This window comes from Homo sapiens, chromosome 14, assembly GCF_000001405.40.
Source record: "Homo sapiens chromosome 14, GRCh38.p14 Primary Assembly".
NCBI lineage: Eukaryota > Metazoa > Chordata > Mammalia > Primates > Hominidae > Homo > Homo sapiens.
The window spans coordinates 91101868-91128883 of NC_000014.9; the positions used below are offsets into that span (position 1 = coordinate 91101868).

Sequence of the window (27016 nt, forward strand, 5' to 3'; positions counted from 1 at the left end):
ATTTTTTTAGAGATGGGGTCTTACTATGTTGCTCAGGCTGGTCTGAAACTCCTGGGCTCAAGCAATCCTCCCACCTTGGCCTCCCAAAGTGTTGAAATTAGAGGCGTGAACCACTATGCCTGGCCTTAGTGTAGATCTCAAAAGAGCCAGAAGAGAATAATTCAAATGTTCCTGGCATAAAGAAGAGATAAATATTTAAAGTGGTAGATATCTCAGTTACCTTGATTTGACTATATGAATGTATCAAATTATCACATATGCCTCGAAAATATGTATATCTACTATGTATCAATAAATTAAAAACCATAAAAATATTAAATAAGTGAATATAGTTTTAAAAAATAAATCACCAGAGATTTTCTAATTTGACTTTCAGGCTCCAATGAAGTGATCAGTGTTCAAGGCTTCTGGAATGTCTTACTCCTAAGTTCTCTGTGAGGCGATGGATGAAGTCCAGTATTAGGGTGAATTTAAATCCTTCTCGAGAAAGTGTCCTTTTGTCTCATGTCCAATAGTGAACTTCCCTCATTTTAAGACAAGCAGATCATAATGTCTAGAATTTTCCATGTTGATTTCCACCTGGTCTCATTGCTCATACCTGCTGCCACCCCCTCCTCCTCCGGCCCCGGGACTGTCGATGGGAGCCAAAAGGAAAGTGGCATTGAGGGTAGAGGCAGATGTGAATGGCAGAGGAGCAGTGGTGTCCACGGAGAGACTGTGGAATGTCAGCAAACTTTGGTTTTCTTCTTGGTAGGGTAAAATAGGGGCTCACAGGCTCTACAGGGCATGGATATGGGGAATTGCATGTGCTCTAGCAGATTTGTGCATCTGCTTCTGGGGATTGGAGGATGCTGCTGGGACCCCTTCCAGTGTGTATGTGTGTGTGTGTGTGTGTGTGTGTGTGTGTGTGTGTGTGTGTTTGAGACTGAGTCTCGCTCTATCACCCAGCAGTGGCGTGATCTCGGTTCACTGCAACCTTCGCCTCCCAGGTACAAGCAATTCTCCTGCCTCAGCCTCCCAAGTAGCTGGGATTGCAGGTACCCCCCATCATGACTGGCTAATTTTTGTATTTTTAGTAGAGATGGGATTTCACCATGTTGGCAAGGCTGGTCTCGAACTCCTGACCTCAAATGATCCGCCTGTCTCAGCCTCCCAATGTGCTGGGATTACAGGTGTGAGCCACCGTGCCCGGCACCCCCTCCGTTCTTGATCTTGAAAGTGCAAAGATACCCCCATGTTTCTCTCAGGCCCAAGGGAGAGCAACTTAATGATTGGTCCTTAATGAGGACCCTGCTCCCGTAGGCTGCCTGGGGAGCTGCTGCCAGTCACCGAGGCTTCATCCACGCACTCCATGCTGCTCCCAGAGCAGATGAAGTTGCCAGAGAAAATTCTCACACCACATGGGCTGGCCTCATTTCAAATTCCTGGCCTCAGACTGCAAATGGGCTATCAACACGGCCTAGCAATCCTTCCCCCTTCTCCTTTTAGCCTGCTTTGCTGCACTCCAAGATAAGAATTCTGTGCCTTTTCCTCCCTCCTCCTCCGTCTCCATCCCAGCTCTGCCGATGACCCTGTCGCAGGCTTGGCTGGGAAAATAGAAGCCAACAGATGGGAGCTCCCTCCTCTCCCCATCACCAAATACACACGCCTTCCTACATCTACTTCTGCATAGGGCCTCTCTTCCTTCTCTTATACCAGAGCAAATGTCTCTACTCCTGCAAAGGCAAATCGCGCAACTTGTAGTCTGGATCCCATTTCTTGTTGCCTACCCCAGAAATTCACACCTGCTGTTTCTGTCTTTCTCTCTTTATATATCTCTCTCCTTCATCAGCAAATCAGCAAACGTTCACTCTCTCCTGTGTCATTGCCATCAACCTACAGTCCTTCTCTGCTATCTCTTATCATATATATAAACACACACGCACACACAAACACATATATGAAACACACACACACACACATATATATACACACACATACATGAAAGTTTTAGAACAACATTCCCTTGTCCCCGCCCCCACCTCCAGCTCCCACTTCTGCGCATGTCTGTGGAAGCTTTCTCCTCTCCCTTGCCTCCCATTCCCTCCTCTGCCTACTCCAATTTGGCTTCCGCCCACCACTCTGCAGAGCAGTAGTGCTCAACCTAGGATGATTTTGTACCTGGGGACATCTAGGGCAGTGTTTGAAAACATTCTTTTTTTTTTTTTTTTTTTGAGACAGAGTCTTGCTCTGTTGCCCAGGCTGGAGTGCAGTGGTGCGATCTCGGCTCACTGCAAGCTCCGCCTCCCGGGTTCACACCATTCTCCTGCCTCAGCCTCCTGAGTAGCTGGGACTACAGGCACCCGCCACCACGCCCGGCTAATTTTTTGTATTTTTAGTAGAGACGGGGTTTCACCGTGTTAGCCAGGATAGTCTCGATCTCCTGACCTCGTGATCCGCCCTCCTCGGCCTCCCAAAGTGCTGGGATTACAGGCGTGAGCCACCGCGCCCGGCCGAGAACATTCTTTATTGTTGCAACTGGGGAAGGGTGTTGCTACCAGCATCAAGTGAGCAGAGGCCAGGGATACTGCTGAACATCTACAATGCATAGGACAGCCCCCCACAACATGGAATTATCTGGCCCCAAATGTCAGTAGTGTCACAGTTGAGAAACCTGGATGTAGGGGCTGCTCTTGTCAAGGTTACCAAGAGCGTCCTTGATGCCAAGTTTGAGAAACGACTTTCCACACTCATCACACCTAGCTCATCTCTCTTGGTTTCCATGAAACACTTCTCTCTTCTGGTTTTCCTCCTGTCCAGTGGCCATTCCTTTGCAGGTTCCTCCTCTGCCTGACTCCGTCCTGGGCTCTCGGATTTCTCTTTCCTTTGTCTTCCAAATTGGCCTGTCCAGTGGCTTCAGATCATTTCTAAGCTGGCTCTGGAGTCTGACTACCTGGTTGGAGTCCCAGCTCTCAGCTTCCCTGCTGTTGTCTATAGCCACAATTTCTCCTTTGTGATCTGGCAGCCTCAGTTTTTTCTTTGGTGAAATGGGGGTATAACAGCACTTACTGCATAGAGTTGTGATAACTGAATGAGGAAATCCAAGTGCATCTTATGACGCAGAGTTTAATTCATATTAGCTGTTATTTTTATTTATAACTTCTATTACATAAAAATTGCATTACTGGCTGGGCATTGTAGCTCACGCCTATAATCCCAGCACTTTGGGAAGCTGAGTTGGGAGGATCACACGAGGTCAAGAGTTTGAGACCAGCCTGGCCAACATGTTGAAACCCTGTCTCTACTAAAAATACAAAAATTAGCTGGACATGGTGGTGCATGCCTGTAATCCCCACTACTTAGGAGGCTGAGACAGGAGAACTGCTTGAACCTAGGAGGTGAACGTTGCAGTGAGCCAAAATCTCACCACTGCACTCCAGCCTGGGTGACAGAGTGAGACTCCATCTCACACAAAAAAAGAAAAAAAAATGCATTATCATTTTACTTTTCACCAGACAACTCAAGAACAGGTGCTGAGGACTCACCAGATCACATCGAGACAGGTGTTTAATTCTATTTCATTGAAATGACAGCAAGAACAAACCACTAGCTGACCATGAGCCCTGTGCCAGGCCTGGTACTAAGTTTTTTTCCTGACGTGCAAAGCAGGATTTCTGCTCCAGAGAGCTTGCCTATGGTGAATAAACAGGAGAGCAACATAGAGGAATATGTGGAAAAGTCAGGCAGCTATAATAGGTGCCCAATTATTAAGAGACCAGTAGTTGCCAAATAGCATGCTATGAAACTCATTCTTCAGAGACACTTCAAGGGGCGTCCTCAAACTTTTGAATTCCAATTTCTGTTTTAAAGTATGTTTTAAACTACAGTCAGACTCCTGACTTAACAATAAGGATAAGTTCTGAGAAAGGCATGATTAGGAAATTTCATCATTGTGTAAACGTCATAGACTGTGCTTACACAAACCTGGGTGGCATAGGCTACGACACATCTAGGCTATATGATATGGTCTATTACTCCTGGGCCACAAACCTGTACAGCATGTGACTGTGTTACAGTTGCTACTGTAAGCAATTGTAACACAGTGATAAGCATTTGTGTACCTAAACATATCTAAACCTAGAAAAGCTACAGTAAAAATACGGCATTATAACCTTATGGGGCCAGGTGTGATGGCTCATGCCTGTAATCCCAGCACTTTGGGAGGCTGAGGCGGATGGATCACCTGAGGTCAGGAGTTTGAGACCAGCCTGGCCAACATGGTGAAAGCCCGTTTCTACTAAAAATATAAAAATTAGCCCGGCATGGTGACGTGCGCCTGTAATCCCAGCTGCTGGGGAGGCTGAGGCAGGAGAATCGCTCGAACCCGGGAGGTGGAGGTTACAGTGAGCCAAGATCTGCCATTGCACTGCAGCCTGGGCAACAAGAGAGAAACTCCATTCCCTACCCCCCCCCAAAAAACTTATGGACCACTGTTGTATATACAGTCTGTCATTAACTGAATTGTCATTATATGGCACATGACTGTATTTTAAAACTGTAGTTTAAAAAACTAAGTTTGGCCAGGCACAGTAGCTCATGCCTATAATCTCAGCCCTTTGGGAGGCCGAGGCGGGCAGATCATCTGAGGTCAGAAGTTTGCGACCAGCCTGGCCAACATAGTGAAACCCCGTCTCTACTAAAAATACAAAAATTAGCCAGGCATGGTGATGTGCACCTGTAATCCCAGCTACGCGGGAGGCTGAGGCATGAGAATCCCTTGAACCTGGGAAGTGGAGGTTGCAGTGAGCCCAGATTGCTCCACTGCACTCCAGCCTGGGCAACAAAGCGAGACTCTGTCTCAAAAAAAAAAAAAAACTCACTTATGAATGTATTGAAGGCGAAATTTCAAAACAGTGGAGATCATCAACACATTAAGTTCTGTTTCAGGTTAATAGATTTTTGTCCAGGCTGTAATGAAGTGTCTGCTTCCCTCTCTGTTTAATAAAGGAAAATCTTGATTCACCCAGATAAAAGTTGCAAGAGAAACTATTTTTTGACAGCTTTATTGAGATATAATCCACATCCCATACAATTCATCCATTTAAAGTTTTGGTTTTTAAACAGTTACAGTTTGCAATTGCTTATTTGAGTGAATCAAGATTCTCTTGAGTTTGTGCAAAGAAAAATGCAAATTTAGAGTGAAATGAGGATGCTAGGAGATGGTGCCTGATGTCCACAAATGTCCATAGCATCAATTTTCAAATTTTTATGTACAAGCGAGCTAAAACATTTCATTTGGCTGCCTTTCTAAGTAATCATATACATTTGAACATGTAATGTTCTTATATGTTCTCATGTCTTATTTCACACTAACTAAAAACCCTTCATTTCGCTAGGTGTGGTGGCTCACACCTGTAATCCCGGCACTTTGGCAAGCTGAGGCGGGTGGATCATCTGAGGTCGGGAGTTCGAGACCAGCCTGGCCAACGTGGTGAAACCCTGTCTCTACTAAAAATACAAAAATTTGCCGGGGTGGTGGCTCACACCTGTAATCCCAGCTACTTGGGAGGCTGAGGCAGGAGAATCGCTTGAACCCAGGAGGCAGAGGTTGCAGTGAGCTGAGATCGCGCCACTGCACTCCAGCCTGGGCAACAGAGTGAGACTCCATCTCAAAAAAAAATAAAAAAATAAAAACCCTTCATTTATCTGCTTGATATATTGAGATTGCAGCTAAGAGTGAGTGTGAAGAGATTCTGTTTGACACATGTTTACTGACTCTATGCCATGTGTCAGGCTCTGTTGGAAGCTCTGGAACTCAGCCATGAACAGGCAGACATGAAGACCTGCTCTTGTGAAGCTTAGATTCCAGAGCAGGGAGATGGAGAATAGCTAGAGAGAAAACAATGGAATGGTATATCAGATGGCGATAAGTGCTGTGAAAACTAAAGCAGGTCCAGAGGGATGAGGAGCTGGCGGGGGTGGGAGACACGAGACAGGGAGCTACTTTATGGAGGGTGCCAGGCCAGGCCTCACTGAGGATGCGGCCTTGGAGCAAAGATGTGGAGATCAGGGAGTGAGCTTTGTGCTTGCCAGGTGCTGCTGCCAAGGAAGCCTGAAGCCCTTGAAAGGCAATAAGAATGAGAGGAGCTCAGAGAAGCGAGAGCAAAGGGAAGGGTTTGTGACGCAGATGAGAGCAGGAAGAGAAAAAGGCTCTGGTGAGCAGAGGAGCGGGGTTGGTCTTCTGTGGGGTGCCGGGGGAGAAGGCAGTTGGAGCAAATGTGTGCAGGTGGAAGTGTCTTCGTGGTTCTGGAAACAAGGAGTCGACTGGCTGATTAGCTCAGTGAGGAAGCAATAGGGCCAGGTGGGAGTCGAGCGTACAAGTGTAGGGTCAGTCCCTGTCCTCGTTTAAAATTTTGGTACTGGGTTCATCATGGAATTTTTGTGGTAACTTTGATTTTAAAAAAATTAGCACTCATATTGGTTACTGAGTTGTTTGGTGCTCCCTTAAACTTTGCACTAGTTTCACCCTAGTTTCTGCCCTTGGAGCAGAGTCTGTGTCAGTAAGTTCACAGTCCCTAGAGGAGGGCCGTCTAAGTCTTTAGACTTGACTCTGTGGTCACTGGAAAGGCCCTTGAAGAATTTGTGTGTGTGTGTGTGTGTGTGTGTGTGTGTGTGTGTGTGAGAGAGAGAGAGAGAGAGAGAGAGAGAGAGAGACAGAGTTTTGCTCTGTCACCCAGGCTGGAGTGCAGTGGCATGATCTTGGCTCACTGCAACTTCACATCTCAGGTTCAAGGCATCCTCCTGCCTCAGCCTCCCTGGTAGTTGGGACTACAGGCATGTGCCACCATGCCCGGCTAATTTTTGTATTTTCAGTAGAGATGAGGTTTCACCATGTTGGCCAGACTGGTCTTGAACTCCTGACCTCAGGGGATCTACCAACCTCGGCTTCCCAAAGTGCTGGGATTACAGGCATGAGCCACCGTTCCCAGCCCCTTGAAGGATCTTGAACAAATAAATGATGTAACCAAAATATTGGGGACGATTGGTCTAGAAGCAATGTGGAGGATGAAGAAAGGGACCGGAGAGCAAGGACCTGTCAGGAAATGGATTGTGATGCCCCAGGCCCATGGTATAGGAACAGGGGGTATGGGAAGGAAAGCTGGCTGCTCCTTGCCTTTCATGGGTCTTTGCCTGTCTCTAAACCACCCCCAGAATTCATCATTTCCCAAACAACTGAAAAGACACAATGAATGCGGGCCTCGTGCCTCTTTCTGTTTTTATTATGACTGATTTTTGCAAAACAGGAAGTGCTGCCGTGACAATGGTATTATTTGTGGCTGAGAAATATACTTTTGAAAACTCTGCAAACCCTGGAACCCTTGCACTGAAGCCTAGTTGTGCTTCTGGAGACTCCCTGTTGGGTGGGCTCCATTCCAACAGGCACCATGACTTTCCTCTGCTCCAACAGCAGCGTGGACTCAAGAGCCGCTGTGTTCCTAGGACTGGGGACAAGTTGCTTCACCTTTCAAGAAAGGTAGTGAGGGCCTGGCACTGTCAAGGAGAGTGGCTGGCTGGGTGCCACCAGGCACCATGAAGACAGTATGATTTATGAGAAAGGTCACAGGAAACCCTCCCTGCCCCAGGCTTTGGTCCTAGATCAACATTTTCATCAGCGGTAGTTAGTGGCTACAGGCTGCAGGGAACACGGAGGTAATTCCCTGAGGCAGAAGTGGGTCAGAACATATGGTGGTTGGGTTCTGATGAGGTTCCTCTTCCTGGCTCCCAGATGGCCACCTTATCACTATGTGCTCACAGGGCAGAGAAAGAGAGAAAGGAAGCTCTCTGGGGTCTCTAAAGGTACTGATCCCATCAGACCAGGGCCTCACGCTCATGAGCTCATGTAACCCTAACTACCTCCCAAAAACCCATCTCCAGAACCCATCACATTGTGGGTTAGAGCTTCAACACAGGAATTTGGAGGGGATATAAACATTCAGTCCATAATATTCCCCATTGTCAGAGCCGACCATGTCTGGAGGCTTTCATATCTAATTCAGGTTGAGGAACCTCTTTGGGAAAAACATCTTGAGTTCCTGTTTCTGTTGGCTCACTGAATCCCTTCAATTGCCTTCTCTTTTTGAACTTTTAAATAGCTACGATTACTTGGCATACAATAGTTACCTAGGTTTAATTTCTTTTCTTTTTTTCCCCTGGAGGGGGCCTCATTTCAGCTAAGCAATTGCAAACAATAGCTTGATTATACTTCTACATTCTTTTGACACAAGCAATTGCTTCTCTTCCCAAGCACACTGTGACACCAGCTGAATATTGTAATATTTCTCTTCCTGAGCAATTTTGCCTGGATCTCACCCACTGAAGAAACCAACTGTAAATATTAATATTTGACATTCCTTGCACCTCTGGCCATACACACAGTTTAACCTTCTGAGGCTCTGCATCTCATCTTTAAGCCTTAAGAAAAAATGGAAAAGGAAAAGCTAGGGCATGTTGCAAGCCCTGCTTGGTGTCAAGGAATCCTTCAAGCTCTGCTTGGTTTGTTTTTCTTTCTTTCTTTCTTTCTTTCTTTTTTTTTTTTTTTTTTTGGAGTCAGTCTCGCTCTGTCACCCAGGCTTGAGTGCAGTGGTGCAATCTCAGTTCACTGCAACCTCCGCCTCCAGGGTTCGAGAGATTCTCATGCCTCAGCCTCCCTGGTAGCTGGGACTACAGGCGCCCGCCACCATGCCTGGATAATTTTTGTATTTTTAGTAGAGACAAGGGTACTCCATGTTGGCCAGGCTGGTCTCGAACTCCTGATCTGACCTCAAGCAATCTGCCTGCCTCAACCTCCCAAAGTTTTGAGATTACAGGTGTGAACCACTGTGCCCGGCCAATAGTTTGGGTTTCTAATCAAGTTTTTTCATTGTAGTAAAATATGCATAACATAAAATTGAATCATTTTTAAGTGTAAAATTTGGTGGCATTAAGTACATTCACAATGGTATGCCACCATCATCACTAACCATCTCCAGAACTTCTTCATTTCAGTAACTCCTCGTTCTCCTTCTGCCACCCTTTGGTAGCTGCTGTTCTACTTTTGTCTCTGTGAATTTGCCTAACTCCAGGTACTTCATATAAGCGAGATCGTATAATATTTTTTTGTGTGTCTGGCTGATTTCAGTTGGCTTAACGTTTTTGTCTCAGTCTGTTAAGGCTGCTAGAACAAAATACCATTAATAGGGTGGCTTATAAACAACAGAAATTTATTTCTCACTGTTCCGGAGATTGGGAAGTCCAGGATCAAGGTGCCAGTAGATAATATGTTTGGCGAGGGCCCCTTTTCTTTTTATTTATATATATGTGTGTGTGTGTGTGTGTGTGTGTGTGTGTGTGTGTGTGTGTGTGTATATATCTATATATCTATATCTATCTATATATATATATATATTTTTTTTTGAGATGGAGTCTCACTCGGTGGCCAGGCTGGAGTGCAGTGGCACCATCTCGGCTCACTGCAACCTCTCTGCCTTCCAGATTCAAGCGATTTTCCTGCCTCATCCTCCCAAGTAGCTGGGATTACAAGCGCACACTACCACACCCAGCTAATTTTTGTATTTTTAGTAGAGACCTGGTTTCACCATGTTGACCAGGATGGTCTCAATCTCCTGACCTTGTGATCCACCCACCTTGGCCTCCCAAAGTACTGGGATTACAGGCATGAGTCACTGTGCCCAGCCTTTATTTATATTTTTAAAAACTTACTAGGCTATCACTCTCAGATCTTAGCGAGGGCCTACTTTCTGATTCATAGATGGTGCCTTCTGGCTGTGTCCTCACAAGGTGGAAGAAACAAGGCAGTTCTTTGGGGCCTCAATGCCATCATTAGGGCTCAACATACAAATGTCAATGCATGAATTTTGGAGGAATACAAACATTCAGACCATACAGCCTTCAAGTTTCATCCATGTTGTAGCATGTATAGGAATTTCATTCCTTTTTGTGGCTGAATTGTATTCTACTGTGTGTATGTATCACATGTTGTTTACCTACTCATCTGTTGATAGACACAATTTGTTTCCACCTTTTGGCTCTTGTCTAATAAAGCTTAACATGGCCTGGCACCGTGGCTCACGCCTGTAATCCCAGCACTTGGGGAGGCTGAGGCAGGCGGATCACCTGAGGTCGGGAGTTCGAGACCAGCCTGACCAGCGTGGAGCAACCCCGTCTCTACTACTAAAAAAAAAAAAAATACAAAATTAGCTGAGTGTGGTGGCACATGCCTGTAATCTCAGCTACTCGGGAGGCTGAGGCAGGAGAATCAGTTGAACCCAGGAGGCGAAGATTGCGGTGAGCCAACACCGCACCATTACACTCCAGCCTGGGCAACAAGAGCAAAACTCTGTCTCAAAAAAAAAAAAAAAAGAGTTTAACATAACAGGTGGCAGATGGGATCTCTCTCCTTTGTGAGCCTGGCCTCAATTTAACAACTACCTTTTGATTAATTCTATTTCATTCTCTGGAAACATGACACCATGACACCAAACAGAGCAACTTAGACAGCAGGGCTCTGCAGGAAAGCTGGGGCTGGAGAACACACGTGATGGGTAGCTGTGGTCATTATGGACCTTCGCAGAGCGTTGCCTGAGGGTCCAGCAGGTCAGAGATGGCACCCTGGGTGGGTGAGGCTGCATGACATGGGGTTTTTGATTCTATAATAAAAGAGATCTTTCACTTTTCACTTTAACCCTTTCATTTATTCATTCACTCACTCATTCCAACATTATTGAATACTTCCAAAAAAAGAAAAAAAAGGAACAAGATGCATGATAACAAAAGAGAAAAAGAAGCAAAAACAAAAAACCAAAACCAAAATGAACAAATTAAAAAAAAAATAGGCTGGGAGCGGTGGCTGACACCTGTAATCCCAGCACTTTGGGAGGCCGAGGCGGGCAGATCACGAGGTCAGGAGATTGACACCATCCTGGCTAACACGGTGAAACCCTGTTTCTACTAAAAATACAAAAAATTAGCCAGGCGTGGTGGCACTCAGGAGGCTGAGGCAGGAGAATGGCGTGAACCCAGGAGGCGGAGATTGCAGTGAGCCAAGATCGCACCACTGCTCCCAGCCTGGGCAACAGAGTGAGACTACATCTAAAAAAAAAAAAAAAAAAAAAAAGGCCAGGTGCGATAGCTCATGCCTGTAATCCCAGCACTTTGGGAGGCTGAGGCAGGCGGATCACAAGGGCAGGCGCTCGAGACCAGCCCAGCCAGCATGGTGAAACCCCATCTCTACTAAAAATACAAAAATTAGCTGGGCGTGGTGGCGCACACCTGTATTCCCAGCTACTGGGGAGGCTGAGGCAGAAGAATCGCTCGAACCTGGGAGGCAGAGGTTGCAGTGAGCGGAGATCGTGCCACTGCACTCCGGCCTGGGTGACAGAGCAAGACTCTGTCTCAAAATAACAACAACAATAAAAGTTATACAAGAATTTTCGACTGCACGAGGTTCAGTGCTCCACGTTGTCCAAGGGTCAATTGTATGGGGTCCAAAGGTAAGTCCTGATGGCTTTGAAGCAGATCAGGAGAAAATCATGGTCATAGTTACTATCTTTTGAGCACTTTCTAAGTGCTGATACTGTTCTAGTGCATAATGCTTATTATCTCAGTCAATCGTCAGAGCAGCCAAGCAAGATAAGTGAGGAGGAAACAGGCCTAAAAACTTACCAAGACCTCTAAATGTGGGTGGCAGAATGCAGATCCAAGCTCAAAACATCACCCTTGCTATTCACAGTGTGGCCCACGGACCAGCAGCTGCATCTTGTGGGAGCTTTTTAGAAATGCAGAATCTCTGCCTGACCCTAGATCTTCTGGATCAAGCCTGCACTTTCACAGGATCCCCTAGTGATCCCAGTGCACACTGAAGTTTGTACAGCACAGATGGCGATTCACCAGATCGGCTGCACATTGGAATCACTTGAGGGATTTCAAAAATCCTTAGTGCCCAGGCCATACACCCCTAGATCAATTACATCTGCATTTCTGGGTCTGTCACCCAGGCATCAGGATTTTTCAAAATTACCCCTCTGTTGAGCCGGGGAGAGCAGGTTAACTCTTGCAGGGAGAACTGGGCTTGCAGGGTCCAGCCAGCTGCCAGCAGCTCTGCAGCTTTAAGAACTGGGGCGGGCTAGCTGCCGAGGAGACCACGCTGCTGCATGGGCCACGTGAGCTCAGGCTGTGGGAGCGGATGGAGCTGCTACAGTCAGCGCTTGGGGCTGGCCTCAGCTTGTAGACCCGAGCCCTGCAGAACAACCCCCCGTGGCGCAGGAGAGCAGAAGAAAGGGGGCCTTTATGCCCTTTTGAGGGAAGCACACATTCTGCAAGGCCGTGGAAACAAAGGGAGGAACTGTTTGTAGCCCTCGTCCAGACGCCCCAAACAAACAGTAAGTCAGAAGGGAACAGAGCACAGCACAGTCCCTCCCTCCGCCCCAGGCAGTATCCACCTTGCCCCGCCCCACCTAAGGAGCCCAAGGGTATTCTGGGAGCCCACCCCAGGACAATGGCAGGGCAAAACCAGTGAGCAAGGCAGAAAATTCCTGAAATTCTCCACTGAGGCCCAGCTGTTCCTCTCCTTGAAAAGTCAAGGCTTGGTTCAAGCCAGATAGCACCTGAGGACAGAACATATCAGGTATTGGTAGTGTTTCTCCTCTGTTCTCTCTCCTGCAAGGCCCTTTCAGTCCTTGTCACTGCCCTTGAGAACTCCCAGGTCACATGAAGGCAAAGAAAGTAAAACTGAAACTGCCTTTGAGCCACAGGCTTGCTGGGGATGAGGTGACAAAGCTAATCGAGGTGGCAATTGGGGAAGGGGTTCTGGGCTGCCGCAGGCACACAGGCCAGAGCTTCGTGGATACCTGCAGGGCCCAAAGGTCCCTCCCTGTTTTGAAGAGTGAGTGATGGCTATGAGGTAGCGGCCAGGCTGATCACCCCTGCGTTGGCTGGAGGCAGAATTCTGTAAATCCTCGCCAAGTCTTTCTCCAGGCCACTGGTTAGCTCATCTCAGCCTCCTCTGGGAGCATCAACACCAACATGGCACAGGGGACTGCAGTGGTGTGCTTTGGACCTGTGTACCCACCCAAGGCTAAAGGCAGAGCCAGGTGACTTTGCGGGGGTCTCTTCTCTAGGATTATCTGTACTTCCCCTCTGTCCTCTTTTACTACGGGAGATCGAGCTAGCTATAACCCACCTTCTTTCATGAGAACCACACTAAATTGCAAAAATTATCCCAGTGCTGGAGGAGGGCAGCAGGTTGAGATTATGTTGGCAGGAAGAATGTTGGCATTGATTGGCACGCAGGGGACGAGAGCTGCTTTGTGCTTTAAAGGTAACTGAGTATGAGCTAAAAAGAAGGAAAGGAGAGGCCGAGAGTAGGAAGAAGAAAGAAAGCTGACTTGGCTGGAGGGGTGGAGTGAAGCTGAGGAAGCAGGAAGGGGAAGGAGGTGATGGGTGGGAAGGGCAGGGCAGGGTGGAGTTAACTGAAAGAAGGCTAAACTGTGGCTTGTACATAATTATGAGGAAGCACCTTTTTTTCCCCCCTTCATTTTGAGACGGAGTCTTGCTGTGTCGCCCAGGCTGGAGTGCAGTGGTGTGATCTCAGCTCACTGCAACCTCCATCTCCTGGGTTCAGGCTATTCTCCTGCCTCAGCCTCCCAAGTAGCAGGGACTACAGGCACATGCCACCAGGTCTGGCTAATTTTTGTAGTTTTAGCAGAGACAGGGTTTTGCCATGTTAGCCAGGCTGAGCTCAAGCCATCCATCCGGCCTGGCCTCCCAAAGTGCTGGGATTATAGGCGTGAGCCACCACACCTAGCCAGGAAGCATCTTAAAAGAGTCAGATGTCACTTCCAGCTGAGGGCTAGATCCCCGGAGGCCAACTGGTGGCCCCTGACATGTTTTATTTGTAAGAGTGAGGACTCTTGGAAATTTGGAAAATTTCACGCGTTGTGAAAGAATGGGCTCACGTTTCCGCAGCTCGGCTGGCGCTGTAGCTGCTGGTTTGCCAAAGTCCCCACCTCTCCTGCACTGAGCTTTGCATTCCTTGACCCACCCCAAAACTTCTGTACCTGCCTGGTTCCTGTGGGCAATGCAGATTGCTGCTCCTTCTGGTTTGATAATAATGATTCTCGTCCAAGTGCACAGGTATATGCTCTTTCAATTAATTTCAATTAATATCTCCCTTTTTCAGTGGAGCATGGCAGATACACAAAACCAACCCTCTCCTTGACAGATTTCTCAGCCTTTCCAGGCGATCTGCCAAGTTGCTAGAGGGTATTTGCATTAAAAAAAAAAGTTTATTTTCTTATTTTGGGTTTAAGGATTTTCCAACCTGCCTTAAGGCAATATTTCATTTATGCCACACTTTACAGCTTTCAAAGCATTTCTTAAACAGACTTGAATTTGTTTTATCCTTCCAGAAGCTCCATGAAGTCTGTAATTTGGATCTCCTCATGCTGTCTTGGAGGAAACAGAATTGTAGAGAAACTAAATGACTGCCCTTGGTCCTTCAGTAATGTTGAGGTTCACATTCAGGCACAGCTCTCTGGAAGACCAAGCTGTGTCTTTTTGACTGTGTGAAATTGTAAAAAGTTATGCTTTGAAAAGCATAGTGACTGAAAGTATGATCTCAATCCAGAATACTTGTGTTACCAGAAAGGGGCCTCAAACCAGACCCCGAGAGTGTTCTTGGACCTTGTGCAAGAAGCAACTGGGGGCAAGTTCATAGCAAAGTGGAAGTGAAAGCAAGTTTATTAAGAAAGTAAAGGAATAGGCCGGGCGTGGTGGCTCATGCCTGAAATCCCAGCACTTTGGGAGGCCAAGGCAGACAGATCACAAGGTTAGGAGATCAAGACCATCCTGGCCAACATAGTGAAACCCCATCTCTATTAAAAATACAAAAATTAGCTGGGTGTGGTGGTATGCACCTGTAATCCCAGCTATTTGGGAGGCTGAGGCAGGAGAATTGCTTGAACCCAGGAGGCAGAGGTTGCAGTGAGCCGAAATCGCCCCACTGCACTCCAGCCTGGCGACAGAGTGAGAGTCTGTCTCAAAAAAAAAAAAAGAACGGCTACTCCATAGGTAGAGCAGTGGCATGGGCTGCTCGACTGAGTATACTTAACGGTTATTTATTGATTATGTGCTAAACAAGGGATGGATTATTCATGAGTGTTCCAGGAAACGGGTGGGCAATTCCTGGAACTGAGGGTTTCTCTCCTCTTTACACAAAATAAGGTAATTTCCAGACATTGTCATGGCATTTGTAAACTGTCATGGTGCTGGTGGGAGTGTCTTTTGCATGCTAATGCATTATGGTTAGTGTATAATAAGCAGTGAGGACGACCAGAGGTCACTTTCATTGCTATCTTGGTTTTGGCTGGTTTCTTTACCACAAAGTGTTTTATCAGCAGGGTCTTTGTGACCTGTATCTTGTGCCTACCTCCTATCTCATCCTGTGACTAGGAATGCCTAAGTTCCTGGGAATGCAGCCCAGTAAGTCTCAGCCTTATTTTACCCAGCCCCTGTTCGAGATGGAGTGGCTCTGGTTTGAAAGCCTCTGACACTTGGGCTTGACTGCTGGTTTGGCCACTCAATACCTATGAGTCTTTAGGCAAAGTACTGAATCATCCTGTGCTTCCTTTTCTGTAAAATAGGGATAACAGCCCTCATCTAGGGAGTGTTGTATGGATTAAATGACATAGTACATGAAAAGTGTTTAGAACAATGCCTGGCACAGAGTAAGCTTTTGTTCACATACACACACACACACATACACACACACACACACACACACACGCCAAACTGTAAAATATTTGAAGAGACTTATTCTGAGGCAAACATGAGGACCCTGGAGGTCCTGAGAACATGTGCCTGACATGGTTGGGATACAGCTTGGTTTTATGCAGTTTAGGAAGACATAGACATCAATCAATACATGTGAAGTACACATTGGTTTGATTGATTCAGTCCAGAATTGAGGTATTCAGGTCATAGGTAGATTCAAAGATTTCCCAATTGGTAATTAGTTAAATGAGTTAAGCTTTGCCTAAAGTTGAAGTTAGCAGGAAGAAATGCTTGGATTCAAGATAAAAGGGGTTGTGGAAGCCAAGGGCCAAGGTTCTTGTTATGTAGATGAAGCTTCCAGGTAGCAGACTTCAGAGAGAATGGATGGTAAATTCTCCCCGCCCCCCCCCCCCCTTTTTTTTTTTAGACGGAGTCTCACTCTGTTGTCCAGGCTAGAGTACAGTGGGATGATCTTGGCTCACTGCACCCTCCACCTCCTGGGTTCAAGCGATTCACCTCCTTCAGCCTCCCAAGTAGCTGGGATTACAGGCACCACCACCCCCACCACGCCTGGCTAATTTTTGTATTTTTAGATTTTTAGTAGAGCCAGGGTTTCACCATGTTGGCCACATTGGTCTTGAACTCCTGACCTCCAAGTGATCCACCTGCCTCGGCCTCCTGAAGTGCTGGGGTTACAGGTGAATCTCTCTTATCAGGCCTTAAAAGGTGCCAGACTCTTCATAACTCTCTTCAAGGTGGGAGGACTTGGAAGGGGAAAGAGCTAGTTAATAGATTTACAGATACAAAAAGCAGTTTCAAAATATGGTGAAGAAACATATTTGGGGGTAAGATATTTTGATTTCCTTCTTTATCTGTCATTTGATAGAGTCAGGTTGGAATTTGGTATCTTATGGCTACAAAGAGTCTCTTTTATCTGTCTTAAGATCTCTGTTTTAATGTTAATGCTGGTCAGTTGTATCTAAACTCCCAAGTGGTGGGGGATAATGAGGCATGTTCAGCCATTCACCTCCCATCATGGCCTGGACTAGTATTTCAGGTTTCTTTGGAATGCCCTTGGCTGAAAGGGGGTCCATTCAATTGGTTGAAGGGCTTAGAATTTTACTTTTGGTTTATACTTTCAAGAAATATTCCTATCAGTGGGGCCAGGCACGGTGGCTCATGCCTGTAATCCCAGCACTTTGTGAGGCCAAGGAAGGAGGATTGCTTGAACTTGGGAGTTCGAAACCAGCCTGGGCAACATAGTGAGACCCTAAAAAGTCTACCTAAAAAGTTAAAAAAAATTTTTTTAAATTATACTACTACTACTAAAATTATTATTATCTGTGCCTTTGGGAGATACTCTGTATTAGTTAGGGTACAGGCTAAATTGTAAAAAAGATCCCAAAATACATTTGCTCAAAAAGGGTAGAAGATTTTTCCTCTTTCACATAATAGCTAAGAGGTAAATGGTCAGTCCAGGACAGGCAAACAACTCTGCTCCACAGGGTCATTCAGGAACCCAGCTTCCTCCATCTTGTTGCTCCCTTTTCTGCATAGTCAAAAGTGACTCAACATCACCTTCACCTTCTGTTCCTGCCTGTAGTGCGAAGAGGGGAGGAATTAGAGGGCAAACAGCTCCCTTCTAAATGATATACCTCAGAGTTGTACATATCCTTTCACTCATATTCCCTGACCCACTCTGTTTCCCTGACCAAATTTCCCAGGCTTTTCTACCTTGATCTGACCTTGTCTTTCTGGACCTTTGGTACCACTGTGCTCCCATACCTGAAGACTCTTTCTCACTGCAGTGCTACTCTTTCTAAGTTCCCACCCTACTTTGCTAGACATTTTTTTTCCATTTCCTTCAAAGAGACCTCCTGTTCCACTCACTCCCTAAATATCCTCTGGGTCTCTGTGTTCCACCCACAGCCCTTCCTGCCTTTTGCCCTCTCCCTCGGTGTGATGGCTTAATGTTGAGTGTCAACTGGATTGGATTGAAGGATGTAAAGTCTTGTTCCTGTGAGGGTGTTGCCAAAAGGAGATTAACATTTGAGTCAGTGAACTGGGAGAGGCAGACCCGCCCTCAGTCTGGGTGGGCACCATATAATCAGCTGCCAGCTCATCTAGGACAAAAGCAGGCAGAGGAACATGGAAGGACTAGACTGGCTGAGTCTTTCAGTCTTCATCTTTCTCCCGTGCTGGATGCTTCCTGCCCTCAAACATCTGACTCCAAGTTCTTCAGCTTTGGACTCTTGGACTTACACCAGTGGTTTGCCAGGGGCTCTCAGGGCTTTGGCCTGAGACTGAAGGCTGCATTGTTGGCTTCCCTACTTTTGAGGTTTTGGGACTTGGATTGGCTTCCCTGCTCCTCGGCTTGCAGACAGCCTATTGTGGGACTTAACCTTGTGATGGTGTGAGTCAATACTCCTTAATAAACTCCTCGTCATGTTAGTCCTGTCCCATCTAGAGAACCCTGACTAATACACTTAGTGTCCTCAGCCACGCAAAAGCTGATGACTCGCAGCTCTCCCTCCTCCGGGCAGGTGTCCTTCCTGACTTCTGGTGCTGAATGTCCACCCTGTCATGGACCTCTGCCTGGGGCTGTCTCACAGGCTCCTCCTACTTAGCATTCTAAAACCAAATTCCTCATCAGTCTCTTCTTGTATTTATTTTCATGAATGGCACAGTTAGCTAGTTGCCCATCCCAGGAAAAAGAAATCTGATAATTATTATTATTATTGTTTTTTGAGATGGAGTTTCACTCTTGTCACCCAGGCTGCAGTGCAATCACGCTATCTCAGCTCACTGCAACCTGCAGCCTCTACCTCCTGGGTCCAAGCCATTCTCCTGCCTCAGCCTCCTGAGTAGCAGGGATTACAGGCACCCACCACCGCGCCTGGCTAATTTTTGTATTTTTAGTAGAGACAGCATTTCACCATGTTGGCCAGGCTGGTCTTGAACTCTGTCCTCAGGTGAGCCACCTGCCTCAGCCTCCCAAAGTGCTGGGATTACAGGCATGAGCCACCCCACCTGGCCCTGATAATTATTTGTGATTCCTTTCTTTCGTTGCACCTTTTGCATACATTCAATCAGGTATCAGGTTCTGGCAAGTCTACCTCTTCCAGTTCCTCAAATCAGCCCTTCCTCTCATTCTCTCACTTTGGGGAAAGCCTGGATTGCTTCTCAAATACTTACGACAGAGGGTCTCTGAGGGATGTTCTTCTTCACATTCATCCTCCACCAAGTGCTGCCTGTTCAGGGGATCCTCCTACCCTTAGTGCTCCTGGGGCTCTTAGATGAAGCTCATACTCCTTCAGGTTATGCACATGCTCCCTCCCAAGCATCTCTTTGTCTATCTTCCCAGCCCCTCTCCCTCTTTACCCCAGGTGTGCCAACCACTCACACTGTCACCTACAGAGACTTCTTCAGCCTTTCTCCTAGTGCTGATTTCCAGCTGTCTGTCAAAGCTCATGCAATGTCTCCCAGGCCATACCTGCCTGACACTGTCAACACAGTTTTCCTTGCCTCTTCCTCATTAGCAGCTCCAGTGCTTAAGCACATTTCCCGACACACAGAAAGTGCTCTGTAAATGGCAAAAGAGTGAACTGTATGGCTCTTTCCATGTCCTACTCCACCTCCAATCATGCTACCTGCTCTGTACCTAAGCTTCTGAGAAGACCCTCCTCTCCTGTGGGGATGTCTGTAACTCTTTCTTCAAGAAATAATATTTTTGGCTGGGCGCAGTGGCTCACGCCTGTAATCTCAGCACGTTGGGAGGCCGAGGTGGGTGGATCACCTGAAATCAGGAGTTCGAGACCAGCCTGGCCAACATGGTGAAACCCTATCTCTACTAAAAATACAAAAATTAGCCAGATGTGGTGGCGATCGCGCCACTGCACTCCAGCCTGGGTGACAGAGTGAGACTCCATCTCAAAAATAATAATAATAATAATAATAATAATAATAATAATAATAATAATTTCAAGAACAAACTCAACTAATGTCTTCAGTGAAGGCTTCTCCTACTTCCCCAGCCAGATTTTCATTATTTATCTATCATCAAGTATTTTTAAAATGCCTATAGTGTGCCAGGCACTGTTCAGTATACTGGGGATAGAGCAGGGGGAAAAAAATGACAAAAACCCCTACCCTTAAGAGGTTCACAGTATAGCATGGGGAATTAGAAGTAAGCATCTGTCTCTTCTCTGGTCTTTAAGCACCTCACAGGCACTGGCCATGTCTGCTCATCTGTTTATTCCCATCATCTAACAGAGTGCTCAACACATTTGCTTGATGAATACGTTTTGAGCACTGGGAGATGATCACAGAAGAGCTAAGAAGTGATAGCAGTTGTATTTAGTGGAGAACAGTATTCACACCTTGTTGTCTAGATTGCCTTGAAATCAGGCTCTGTATGATATCTTTTTTTTTTCTCTTAGAAAAAACTGTTAACCTATTTAGAGTAATTTTATTAAGGAGCTTTTTATTTTTTTATTTTTTTTTTTGAGACAGGGTCCCACCCTGTTCCCCAGGCTGGAGTGCAGTGGTTCAACAACCACAGCTCACTTCAGCCTTGACCTCCCGGGCTCCCACCTCAGTCTCCTGAGTAGCTGGGAACACAGGTACGTGCCACCCTGCCCAGCTAATTTTTTATTTTTTGTAGAGATGGGGTTCCACTGTGTTGCACAGGCTGGTCTCAAACTTCTGGGCTCAGTCAATCCTCCCGCCTTGGCCTCCCAAAGTGTTAGGATTACAGGCGTGAGCCATTGTACCTTTAAAAGAAAAAAAGAAAGATTTTTTTTATTTTAAATTAAAAATTATGACATTGCATATCACTGTGAGTGTATTTAATGTTACTGAATTGTACACTTTAAAATGATTAAGATGGTCAATGTTATGTGTATTTTAACTATAATAAAAGAAAAAAGTTTTTTTTTTTTTTTTTTGAGATAGAGTCTCACTCTGTCGCCCAGACTGGAGTGAAGTGGCTCGATCTCGGCTTACTGCAACCTCCACCTCCCGGGTTCAAGTGATTCTCCTGCCTCAGCCTCCTGAGTAGGAGTAGCTGGGACTGTAGGCGCCTGCCACCATGTCTGGCTAATTTTTGTATTTTTAGTAGAGACAAAGTTTCACTATATTGGCCAGGCTGGTCTCAAACTCCTGACCTTGTGATCCACCTGCCTCAGCCTCCCAAAGTGCTGGGATTACAGGCGTGAGCCACGGTGCTTGGCTAGTTCTTTCTTTTCTTAAGGCTGCATTTCATTCAGCAAAGAGGCACTCACTATGTAGCCGGCACTACTCTGGGTTTGTGGGCCATAAAGACAGATAAGACACAGTCCCTGTCTTTCGAGGACTTAGGCTTAGCAGGAGACAGGCACCTGAGCCACAGAGACAATCAAGAGTTGCTCGCTGTGCTCAGGGAGAACTCTGTTCGGCCCACACCACCTTAGTTACTAGTGACGGCCACCAGACTTGAAGTATCATGAGTACCTGGATCATCACAGAGGAGTCAATCCATTTTTATAGGTCTAACTTGGGTGTTTCCAAAAATGTCAAGTAACGAACACACAACAGAACATTTATAAGAGCAGGATTCCAAGGTATCAGTTAGACAGTAAACGGAGGGGCCCAGCCAAGCATATTCCCATGCTGCAAAGCCACTTGATATTAGCGCACATCTTGAAGCAATAAACGCTGCCCTGGCAGGCCCTGGCAAATGGCACTTGTGAATATTTAGAAACGGAGCAGCCCTGTTTGGGAAAACTGTCATACTGACGCGCTAGGTTGGGAGAGATGAGGTGGAGACAGTTAAAAAAAAAAAGAATGAACTGTATGCTTCCAGAAACGTTAAACTCTCACTCATGGAGCCTAGTGCATCAAGTTTAGGTCCATTGTAACAGCACTTTAGGTTGTTTCTGATTATTTTTTTCAAGACAGGGTCTCACTTTGTCCCTCAGGCTAGAGTGCAGTGGCACAGTCATGGCTCACTGCAACCTCAACCCCCTGGGTGTAGATGATCCTCTGACCTCAGCTTCCCAGGTAGCTGAGACTACAGGTGTGCACCGCCACAGCCAGCTGATTTTTTGTAGAGACAGGGTTTCGCCATGTTGCTAGGCTAGTCTTGAACTTCTGGGCTCAAACAGTTCGCCTGCCTTGGCCTGCCAAAGTGCTGGGATTACACGCATGAGCCACTGCATCCAGCCTGTTTTTTTCAATGTTTTAACAGCGCATCTTTTGGCTTTAATAATCAGACTTTTTTTTTTTTTTTTTTGAGATGGAGTCTCACTCTGTCACCCAGGCTGGAGTGCAGTGGTGCAATCTTGGCTTACTGCAACCTCTGCCTCCCGGGTTCAAGCGATTTTCCTACCTCAACTTCCTGAGTAGCTGGGACTACAGTCGCACGCCATCATGCCCGGCTAATTTTTGTATTTTTAGTAGTGACGGGGTTTCACCATGTTGGCTGGGATGGTCTCGATCTCCTGACCTCGTGATCCACCCACCTCGGCCTCCCAAAGTGCTGGGATTACAGGCGTGAGCCACCACACCCTGCCAATAGTCAGACTTTTAAAAGCAGCAGACCCAGCTAACTGGGAGTGAAGCAGCTGCTCCTCACTAATTTGCTGTCAAGGAGCTGAGCAGATGGAAGCACCATCCTCCCTCCTCCTGATGCCTCCTCTTCTCTCTGGGGTTTCCACATTTATTGTATTACTGCATTTGGTCTATGGGGTTGACAGTTCAGCAGGACTTCAGGCTGGAGGTAGGAAACAGGTCCACTGTGGGCATAGCTGCTTGTTAATTCATGGCAGATTAGGCTTTCTGTGAATGGCATGGCTTTTTTCAACCACGAGTTCTCTGAGGCCTGAAGAAAGTGCTGGTGGAAGGCCGTGTTGCCCGGGCCAAGGAAAGTGTCCTGTTACACAGGGGTTGGTTGTAACTCACTCTGATTCTGTGGTTAATCAGAAACAAATCAGCCTGTTTCATAGAAGCCTTTGTTGTTTGTTCTGATGAGATTTTTACCTGCTGTACTTGAGACATCAGTAAAAAGTGAAGTAGAGGTTCCTCTTCAGAGACTTTCCTTCCCATCTAATTAGGAATAAATAGTAACTTCTCTTAGAAGCAAAATTTATTCAAAGACCTGTGCTAACATTCTTAAATATCTGCTATCCATAATAAAGAAATCAATGTACTTTAATGTTCTTAGCTCCCACAATTTAGCCTGAATATTTGCCCTGGCATGCTTATACTGGTCCAAGCAAGTATTAGGTCATAGCCTGTTCCTCTTCCTTATTTGAAGGTGTTTTTACCTTTCTCAACATTGCACAAGTTACTTCCTCCTTCCTTTGTTCTCCTCTGCCTTTGCCTCTTTTAAAAGGTTCTAAGTTGCCAGCCAATTGGGACAAATACAGGATCTGAGGTCCCATTCCAGCCAATGGAAACTGGACACAGCAGTAGGGTGGACGAGTCAGGTTATAAATGACCCTGTCTCCTTTGTTCTATATACTCATGGGGCACAACTACTGGCGAGTGTACCCTTTCTGCAGAAAGTGTAAAAATGGCCTTGCTGAGGAAATTAAATTTATGTTCAAGTACTATTTCTTTACGGCACCGGGGAACAAGCATTTCAAACACGTACTTGCTGCAGACTCTGCCCTCTGGAATGGCTGCGATCCTGTCTCAAATGGATTTGAGCAGAAAAGGGGAAGTGACTGGCAGAAAAGCCCAGAGATAGATCTGTGTTTAGGTAAGGTTGTTTGTCCAGAGATAGAACTGTGTTTAGATAGGGTTGCTTGTAGGGCCAGGGATGACAGCGTCAAGCCCTGCCTCTTTTTACTCTTGGCTCTCTGCTTTCTTCTCTGTTGGCTTCCTTCTCGAGCCAGCTCTCTCTGTGGGGTGACAAATGACCACTGGCAGCCTATGCTCACATTGTCCCTGTGTCTAGCAGTTTCAGAGGTAAGAAATACTTCTTTCCCGACAGCTATACAAATACAAAGGTTAAGGTTGGGCACAGTGGCTCACTCCTGTAATCCCAACACTTTGGGAGACCAAGGCAGGCGGATCACCTGAGGTCAGGAGTTCAAGATCAGCCTGGCCAAAATGGTGAAATCCTGTCTCTACTAAAAATACAAAAATTAGCCGAGCCTGGGCTACTCAGGAGGCTGAGTCAGGAGAATTGCTTGAACCGAGGAGATAGAGGCTGCAGTGAGCCGAGATCTTGCCACTGTACTCTAGCCTGGGTGACAGAGCAGGACACAGTCTCTAAAAAACAAAACAAAACAAAACAAATTCAAAGGATAACTCTGGTTGGCTAGCTGGGGTCATGTGACCATCCTCAACCCAAGCATTGTGCTAAGGAGGATGGGCTATTTTGATTGTCACCTAGGTCTGAGATAGTGACTGACAGCCCCACTGGGTACTGGGGGACACTTTTCCAATTTGCTGGGCACGTAATGGTTTCTTAGGGCTGCCACAACAAATCCCAACTTACTTGGTGGCTAAAAGCAACAGAAATCTCTTATCTCACAGCTCTGGGGGGTAGGAGTTCTACGTCAATGTATTAGGGGGACTATATTCCCTCTGATGCCTCTAGGGAATGATCCTTCCTTGCCTCTTGCAGCTTCTGTGGCCCCAGGAAATCCTTGGAGTTCCTTGGACTGTAGCTGCGTCACTCCAATCTCTGCCTCCATCTTCACAGGATGGCCCCTTCTGTGTTTCTCCTGTCATGTCTGTGCCTTCTTATAATTACATGTGTTGGGGTGTGCTCAGAGCAGGGGGCCCGAAGAATGCCTCCTCTGTTTACAACACACCCAATAGGAATCTGGGGTCATTGTGACAAGGGACACAGAGCTTGTGACCTCCCTACAAACAAATGCCCTACACATTGAAAAAACAAAAAACGTGTCAGACCAGGTGCGGTGGCTCAGGCCTGTTATCTCAGCACTTTGGGAGGCCAAGGTGGGAGAACTGCTTGAGCCCAGGAGTTTGAGACAAGCCTGGGCAATATAGCAAGACCCCATCTCCACCACACACAAAAAAATATGTTACTGGTTTTAGGGTCCACTCAATTAATCCATAATAATCTCATCTCAAGATCTTTCACTTAATTGCATCTACAAAGACCCGTTTTCCAAATAAAGTCATATTCACAGGTATGGGGTGAGGGTTGGGACTTGGATTTATCTCTTTGGGGGCCACATTCCACCCCCTGTAGGGCAGAAATAAATAGCCACTGCACTCCACCCCTTGACTGCCTGGCATCCATCCATGGCCTTTTCCACATAAACAATTCCAGAAATGCAACACCCCAGTGTGGTACAGGCTGCCCACATCCAAGCAAAGCTGGCCGATGTACATTCTTCTCAGTCAGGCCTTGATGATACTCTTTTTTTTTTTTTTTTTTTTTGAGATAGAATTTCCCTCTGTCACCCAGGCTGAAGTGCAGTGGCACAAGTATGGCTCACTACAGCCTCAACCTCCCAATCTCAAGCCATCCTCCCACCTCAGCCTCCCAAGTAGCTAGAACCACAGGCATGTGCCACCATGCCTGGGTATTTTTTAAATATTTTGTAGAGACAGGATCTTGCTGTGTTGCCCAGGCTGGTCTTGAACTCCTGGCCTCAAGCAGTCCTGCCTCACCCTTCCAAAGTGCTGGGATTACAGGCGTAAGCCACCATGCCAGGACCTTAGTCCATTTTCTGATAACTCTGTGAGCTGCCAACTGGAGCTAGAAACTCAAGTCAAGTCATGCTGTAGAATCTGGACCTTGTCCTCGCTGCACCTGCCCCCTCTACACCCCGTTCTCCCTGAGTCTTCCTTCAGACTGCAGCCTTCTGGCCTCTGCCCCAACACACTGGGCCTGGGCCAGAGGGATGAGGCCGGGCTGTCTGGCCCTTGCCTTCAGGCTGTTTGCGGTTTGGCCAGGCAGGGAACGCCGGGCAGAAGTGGCTGGCAGGGAGCCAGGGGAAACTGCTTCTTCCGGTTTCTGTCCCCTCTCACACTGTGTCGTCCTTCTCCCAGCCTTTACCTGTGCTCCTAGCCTGGGGCAGGGAATCTGACTTTTGCAATCCTGAAATATGATTTTCTGGTTCTCAGCTCAGCTGAATTACTTGCCCCAGGCAGAAAGAGAAACTCATGGCTTTCTTTTCTCCTTCCCTGCTTTCAGAAAGGTCAACTGGGACTAAAGTGCATCTTTTTCTCACCGAGCTTACTGAAGGCTGAAGAAGGGGCAGCACACCCCAGGCACCTGGCTTTTTTTTTTTTTTTTTAACAAGTCCTACCAATTTCCAGCCTCATTGAGCATGTGGTCTGACTCACTGGGCTCAACAGGAGAGGCTTTGGCTACCTTGCACCACTTGAGAGGTGTTGCTCACCCCGAGTCAGGAAGGGAGACCCCACCTTACACCCACCTCAACACAGCAAATTCCAGATATTAGGGTCTGTCATTTGCAAAACCCTGCTCCTGGTACAGAATTCTGAGTTACTTAGGACACTTGATTGCAATTGATGTTAAGAAAGATCCAGGCCGGTACGGTGGCTCACACCTATAATCCCAGCACTTTGGGAGGCTGAGGCAGGTGGACTGCTTGAGCCGAGGAGTTCAAGACCAGCCTGGGCAACATGGAGAAACCCCATCTCTACAAAAAAAAAAAAAAAAAACCCACAAGAATATTAGCCGGGCATGGGGGTGGTGGCATGTGCCTGTAGTCTTAGCTATTGGAGAGGCTGAAGTGGGAGGATCACTTGAGCGCAGGCATGGAGGTCACAATGAGCCATGATCACACCACTGCACTCCCACCTGTGTGACAGAGCGAGACTCTGTCTCAAACCAAAAAAATAAAATAAAACAAAAAATAAAAGAAAGATCCAGAAAGGGGATTGTATTAGCCTATATAACTGGGAAGCAGGAAAGGCTGGATCCAGATACCTAAATGACAGGATAAGGACTTTGTTTCTCACCCCCCCTTTGTCCCCTGTTACTCTCCAGCCCTTCTCTCTGCTTGTCTTTCTACTGGTTTTAATGGGATTTCAGGCTGATTTTCATGGAGCTCTAGGCTCACAGTGCATTTATGTCTAGCAATCCTCTTAGATTCTGAGTTGTTCCAACAGAAGACACAGGAAGGGCTCTGAATGGACTCGCTTGGGACCTCTGCTCACCCCCTGTATTAAATAACCACCGAGGCCAGATGAGTGGAAATACCCTGGTTAGTTGGCC

General features: G+C 46.7%; 1 protein-coding gene and 1 non-coding gene across 13 annotated transcripts in view, besides 4 other annotated features; both read left to right on the plus strand.

The window, feature by feature from the left end:
* Positions 1-27016, plus strand: part of DGLUCY (D-glutamate cyclase) — a 165300-nt gene that overhangs the window by 41535 nt on the left and 96749 nt on the right. For 4 of the 12 annotated variants that reach the window (NM_001286472.2, NM_001102369.3, NM_001102368.3 and 1 more), the window contains exon 1: positions 12206-12416. The exons of 3 other annotated variants lie outside the window; for them this stretch is intronic. The gene's annotated coding sequence lies outside the window, so the exon portion shown is untranslated. Of the gene's footprint in view, positions 1-12205; positions 12662-12767; positions 13355-27016 lie in introns of those variants that run through there. 5 more of the 12 variants (NM_001286470.2, NM_001102366.3, NM_024952.8 and 2 more) reach the window with 3 other exon arrangements.
* Positions 11653-12565: an enhancer, noted in NCBI's record as "NANOG-H3K27ac-H3K4me1 hESC enhancer chr14:91579864-91580776 (GRCh37/hg19 assembly coordinates)". NCBI's record gives its function as "activates a minimal SCP1, AML or CMV promoter by ChIP-STARR-seq in naive H9 embryonic stem cells {active_cell/tissue: H9 hESC(naive)}" and the evidence as "EXISTENCE:reporter gene assay evidence [ECO:0000049][PMID:30033119]".
* Positions 13026-13085: an enhancer, noted in NCBI's record as "active region_8892". NCBI's record gives its function as "activates an Ori minimal core promoter by ATAC-STARR-seq in GM12878 lymphoblastoid cells {active_cell/tissue: GM12878}" and the evidence as "EXISTENCE:reporter gene assay evidence [ECO:0000049][PMID:35858748]".
* Positions 14506-15007: an enhancer, noted in NCBI's record as "H3K4me1 hESC enhancer chr14:91582717-91583218 (GRCh37/hg19 assembly coordinates)". NCBI's record gives its function as "activates a minimal SCP1, AML or CMV promoter by ChIP-STARR-seq in naive H9 embryonic stem cells {active_cell/tissue: H9 hESC(naive)}" and the evidence as "EXISTENCE:reporter gene assay evidence [ECO:0000049][PMID:30033119]".
* Positions 17478-18677: an enhancer, noted in NCBI's record as "CDK7 strongly-dependent group 2 enhancer chr14:91585689-91586888 (GRCh37/hg19 assembly coordinates)". NCBI's record gives its function as "activates an origin of replication core promoter dependent on BRD2, BRD4, P300/CBP, MED14 and CDK7 cofactors, with strong dependence on CDK7, by STARR-seq in HCT116 cells {active_cell/tissue: HCT116}" and the evidence as "EXISTENCE:reporter gene assay evidence [ECO:0000049][PMID:35650434]".
* On the plus strand, positions 24559-24685 carry SNORA11B (small nucleolar RNA, H/ACA box 11B). The gene has a single exon (NR_003709.1). It is a non-coding gene; the product is annotated as a small nucleolar RNA, H/ACA box 11B (small nucleolar RNA).